This window comes from Homo sapiens, chromosome 4, assembly GCF_000001405.40.
Source record: "Homo sapiens chromosome 4, GRCh38.p14 Primary Assembly".
NCBI lineage: Eukaryota > Metazoa > Chordata > Mammalia > Primates > Hominidae > Homo > Homo sapiens.
The window spans coordinates 118,639,877-118,646,201 of record NC_000004.12 but is presented as its reverse complement, the minus strand read 5'-3'; the positions used below and the strand labels follow the sequence as shown (position 1 = coordinate 118,646,201).

The 6,325-nt window shown below is 35.6% G+C and overlaps 1 pseudogene; it reads right to left on the bottom strand.

Annotated features, from left to right (window-relative positions):
- Positions 2,950-5,528, bottom strand: SEPTIN14P4 (septin 14 pseudogene 4; annotated as a pseudogene).

The window sequence follows — 6,325 nt, the reverse complement described above, 5'->3', positions numbered from 1 at the left end:
CTTAGAAGTCACTCCTCCGTGGAACTCCTCTGACATATTAAACATTGCAGTCCATTATAAGCTGCAAGAGGACAGGGATTTTTGCCTGTTTTATTCCCTACTGTATCACCAGGGGCTACAGCAATCTCTGACAAACAGTGGGCATGTAATGAGTATTTGTTAAGTGAAGTAATAAATTCAATCAAATCACATCACCTGTTTAAAGCACTTCATTGGCTTCACATTGCACTTAGAATAAAGAGAAATTCTTTTTATACAATATAAGTTCCTGCAGAATGCAGACACTTTCTACTTCTCCAGCCTCTTTTCAACTCCTCTCCTACTAGCTTCTGTATTTAAGCCACATTAGACCTTTCTTCAGTTTTTTATATAGACTTTGTTGCATCACACCTCAGAGATTCTGTACATGTTCTTCCTCCTGCCTAGAAAGGATCGTCCCTCCACTTTCGCCAACTAATCCCTGCTCAACTTTTCGTCTCAGCAGGAGGCCCATTCTCTTTGGCAATCCTCTGGCCTCCAGCCCATTTATTATATGCTCACATGTCAACATGTACTTCGTACAGCATGTAACACAATTGCACTTTTATATTTTAACAAATTATATTTCCCATATTGAATTGTAAGTCTCCTGAAAGGAGGAATTTTGTTCTTGCTCATCATCAACTTTTTCAACATCCAGTGCACCATTTAGAACTTAGGTGTAGTCAATACAGGTTTGTGGAATGAAAGAGGAAAAGAAAGAATTAATATTCCTTTAAATTAGGATGGCAAAGATCGTATATAGAAAATTGGCTAAGTTGTGGTCCATTCATGTTTGCTCCCAATTAAGGAGCACAGCTATGAAAAGGAAGGCTTCAAATTAATAACCAATAGATTTTTTAAAAAAGAAAACTGGCCAGGTACTGTGGCTTATGTCTGTAATATCAGCATGTTGGGAGGCCAAGGCAGGATTACTTGAGCCCAGAAATTCCAGACTAGCCTGAGAATTTGGCAAAACTCTGTCTCTACAAAAAATACAAAAATTAGCCAAGTTTGGTGGCATGTGCCTGTAGTACCAGCTACTTGGGAGGCTGAGGTGGAAGAATAGCTTGAGTCTGGGAGGTCAAGGCTGCAATGAGCTGTGATCGCACCACTGCACTCAAGCCTGGGTGGTAGAGTAAGACCCTGTCTCAAAAAAAAAAAAAAAAGAAAAATCACTAAGCAAAATAAGACATGTGAAGGATCATGTCAAAGTTAAGAAAAATTAGGGGAACATTAAAAGCTTTCTTCCCAAGCCACTAAATCAACTTGACTAACAAAATTACCACTTGATTTAGCATTAGAAAATTACATTACATATCAAACATAAACCCATTAATCAAATACTAAAGAAATTTCTGAGTTAAATGGTATAATGTTAGCTTATGCCAGAGCTGACCTTGAAAGATTGTTCAAATATGGCTCAGTGTGATTGAAAGTTCTGTGTGAATATGTTTTTGGAAAGATCCAACAGCAACACCTTAGTGTATGTTTTTGAAGTAAAATGTATCTGAGTAGCAGCAAAGTTATTCTCAAATTTCCATTTTATAGCTGGAGATGTTATACCGTGACATATATGATAGGACCCAATATGGATTAATCCCTTTTAGAACTCAATCAGGAAGAGGGGAGCAGTTAAAACAGTTGCTTGGTTTACAAACAGTACAACAATTTTCTTATTCACACCATCTGATTATTGTATTTTATTTTTTCCCCAATGTTTAGACTACACAATGAGTTAAGAATGATAAAAATAAGCTCACCAATATACTATGTACATATTTACCAAAATCTGTGCATGCCTATACATATAAACACAGCTGATAATTTATTAGTTAGGCTCATTTGTAATTTTTGTCACTATAGACCAGTTTTTTATTTAAATTGAAGATTAGTATACATTTTAAATGATTAGTCAAAATAAAAAATTTAAAATGTGCTCTAAATACCTCTTAGGTCAGAAAAAAAAAGTCAAAACTAGAATATAGAGAAATTAAGAAATGCCCTAAATTTCTAATCTGACAAAAATTCATACAAGATTTAAATATTTTAATGGAAAATAGAACAGAACTAATCATTGAAGAAATTATAGAAAGGAAACAAAATAAACAGATTATATGGAGGATTTTTAGAAGATAAGTAAATAATATACTAGGAAAAAACAAGGGAAATATAATTGATAAATAAATACAGGTAAGAGTTCTTTTGAAATAATGATAAAATAGAAAATGTCAAAACTAAAAGGAAAGATGCATAAACATATAAATAAATGATAAAAAGATGTTGCATACATATATGACTTTTTCAGAATCAAAAAATTTAAATTTCTGTAATAAAATGTAAATGTTTATAAATTTAAAAAACTAGAAGAATGTTGACTGTTCACAATACAAATAAATGACAAATATTTGAGGTGATGGATATGCTAATTATCCTTATTTGATCATTGGACATTGTATACATGTATCAAAATATCACTCTGTATCCCATGAATATGTACAATTATTTGTCTCAAAAACAAACAAAAAAGATAATGGGAGAATGTTGAAAACTCAGAGAGAAGAGCAACTCTCACAGATAGGGATCCAGATAACATTAGCAGCTGATTTCTCGGCAGAAACCTTGAAGGCCAGTAGGCAGTGGATTATATATTTAAAATAATGAAGAAACCTGTCAATTGAGAAATCTATAGCTGGAAAACTTATCCTTCAAAAATGAGGAAGAAATTAAGACATTTCCGGATTTTTTTTTAAAACTGAAAAAAATCCATTTATCCCTGAATTTGCCATTCAAGAAGTGTTAAGTCCTTCAGGTTGAAATAAATGAACTCTAGGCAATAACTATAAAAGTAAATAAGCAAGCTGTATGAATATACAAAGCTCTCTGGTAAAGGTAAATACATAAACAAATATAAAAACAGTCCTATTGTAATTTTGGTTTGTAACTCTGCTTTTTATTTTCTACATAATTTAAAAGGGAAATGCATAAAATGTAATTGTAAATCTGTTAGCTGGTATACAATGAATAAAGATATAATTTGTTACATCAATAACATAAAAAGAGTAGAGCTATATATATAGCAGTAGAATTTTGGTATGTGATTGAACTTAAGTTGAATAAATTCAAATTAAAATGTTATAACTCTAGGATGTTATATGTAATTCTCATAGTAACCAAAAACGAAATATACATAGAATATAAACAAAAGGAAATGAGACTAGAAACAAAATGTCACTACAAAAAAATCAACTAAAGATAAAAAAGAAATAATTGAGAAAATGATTGGCAAAAATCAGTAACTCTGACGTATTAAAACTTTCCATGCTACATAAATCTGAAAACTCTATTTCACATAAAACTGGAGCTGAACGAGACAAATATTTACCTATAAAGTTAAAAGTTATATAGGGAACAAACACTAATTTTTTTTAGAAAAAATTATAAAAAGAGTAAAAATATGCCTTATACTACCCTAATTTCATGTTTTACAGCTCTGGGAAAATACAAAATAAAATGTTCTATTAGCATGAATCCCCCTGTGCCCCCAAAAAACCCTACGGATTGCATCATTATTACCTAAAAAGTCTATTCTCAAATGCAGCAGAGTGATATTTTTTACAAGGTAGATATTAATTTTAGATATGGAATAATATTGGTGATTTCAATTTTATAACACTGGGTTAAGATGAAAGAATGAGAAGATAAAGGTCCCTCAGCAATATAACTCACAAACATGATCAGAAGCAGTAAGAAGTTACATTAATTATCTTTTGAAAGTCAATAATCTACATCTTTAATGTATGCATATAGCACAGCTAATGTACTATCGCTGGGTCCATTTATTCAATGAATAATTGCCGCTATGTGTCAGACATTTTTCTAGGCCTAGGAATGGATACATAAGTGAACAAAGCAAAGATTCTGGTTCTTGTAGAGTTTCCATTAAAAGACCATTTAGTAAAACTTTTCTTCCCCCAAATTATAAAATCTGTAAGATGATTTAACAACTTGTGTAAAAGTCATTGTGGGCCAGGCACGGTGGCTCATACCAGGTGTGGTGACTCATAGCACTCTGTCACCCAGGCTGGAGTGCAGTGGCACAATCTCTGCTCACTGCAACCTCTGCCTCCTGGGTACAAGCGATTCTCCTGCCTCAGCTTTCTGAGTAGCAAGGACTACAGATGCACACCATCACGCCTGGTTAATTTTTGTACTATTAGTACAGACGGAGTTTCACCATGTTGGCCAGGCTGGTCTCGAACTCCTGACCTCAAATGATCCGCCCACCTCGGCCTCCCAAAGTGCTGGAATTACAGATGTGAGCCACAATGCCCGGCCTGATTTTCTACAACTTGGTAACTTTAGTATATACCCCAAATCTGTAAGACATAATATTATAATTCAAATGCAACTCATGGCTTCTCATTGTACTCTTTCTCTAGCTTTTGAATTATTTATTCTAATACCAGTTTTAATTCTGACACAAAAGCATGGGAGTTCTAATCAAAATCCAACCTTTTATCATAAAAACTATGAAGAAATTATGAGTAGAATTTAAAAAGGAAAATAGGCCTATTAATTAGATTTGTCTTTGTAGCATTTAACTCTATAATAAATAGCATAATATTTTATGCCTATGAGTCCCCAACAAAGCCTCCAGCTTCTATTTAGATATAAAATGTAAAAGTCACTACTGGATCCACAAGCAAGACTATGGTAAAGAAATTTCTCCACCTAACCAGCTTCTTTTACATGATGTTACGTTTCTTTTGTTTTTTCATTTTGGCAAATATTGATTGTCATCTTCGTGTTTGTCTATGTCCTAAGTGCTGGGATACAGAATCTGAAAAGATGGACACAGGACCTGCCTTCAAGTTCACCTTTTTTTTTTTTTTTGAGATGGAGTTTTGCTCTTGTCACCCAGGCTGGAGTGTAATGGTGAGATCTCTGCTCACTGCAACCTCCACCTCCAGGGTTCAAGTGATTCTCCTGCCTCAGCCTCCCAAGTAGCTGGGATTACAGGTCCCAGCCACCACGCCTAGCTAATTTTTGTATTTTTAGTAGAGACAGCGTTTCATTATGTTGGTCAGGCTGGTCTCGAACTCCTAACCTCAGGTAGTCGACCCACCTCGGCCTTCCACAGTGCTGAGATTACAGGCATGAGCCACCACGCCCTGCTAGGAGTTCACGCTTTAGTTGGGGAAAATATACAATAAGCAAGCCAATTTTTAAAATGAGAACTGCAATTAGAGTTAAATGCTACAAAGACAATCTCACAGGAAGATGGGATGTAGAATGATAAGGCTCTCAGAATAGTAAGAGAAACTATTGCTTCTTACGATGTTTGTCTTTCTTTGTATCAGTGCTCAGCTGAGTCTGCAGTGCTTCAGAGGCAGCTTTCATTTTATAAAAATCTATGATTTCTCTTTCCAGTTGTTTTTTCTCTTCCTCGAGCTTCCTTATCTCCTCCTGTTGAATCATTTTAAGATGCTCGAACTTGTCCTGCAGCTGTGAAACCAATGTGCAGTTGTGACACCAAAGCAGTGTGGCTGAACACCCAAAAGAATATGCTTTTTTCTGATTATCAAACAAACCCAAATCATCACAGTAGAGCACGATCTTAATAGCAATCTCAAAAACTCAGGAGTAAACACTCAGATATGGAATTTTTCTTTTCTTTCTTTTTTCCTTTTATAAGATGGAGTCTCACTCTGTTGCCCAGGCTGGAGTGCACTGGTGCGATCTCAGCTCACTGCAACCTCCATCTCCCAGTTCAAGTGATTCTCCTGCCTCAGCCTCTTGAGTAGCTGGGACTACAGGCATGCACCACCACTACAGGCGTGTGCCACCACACCTGGCTAATTTTTGTATTTTTAGTAGAGATGGGGTTTTGCCATGTTGGCCAGGCTGGTCTCGAACTCCTGACCTCAGGTGATCCTCCCACTTTGGCCTCTCAAAGACTTTTTTTTTTTTTTTTAATATAGAGACAAGTTCTCAGTATGTTGCCCAGGCTGGTCTCAAACTCCTGAGCTCAAGTGATCCTCCCACCTCAGCTTCCCAAAGTGCTGGGACTGACTGGATGCAGTGGCTCATGCTCGTAAACTCAGCACTTTGGGAGGCCAAGGTGGGAGGATCGCTTGAGCCCAGGAGTTCAAGACCAGACTGGGTGATATAACACAATAGTAAACTTCAACAGGAGAATCTGTAAACTTGAATATAGATCTTCTGAAATTATCCAGTCAGAGGACAAAGAAAAAAAGAATAAAAAAGAGAAAAGAAGGCTGGGCGTGGTGGCTCAAGCCTGTAA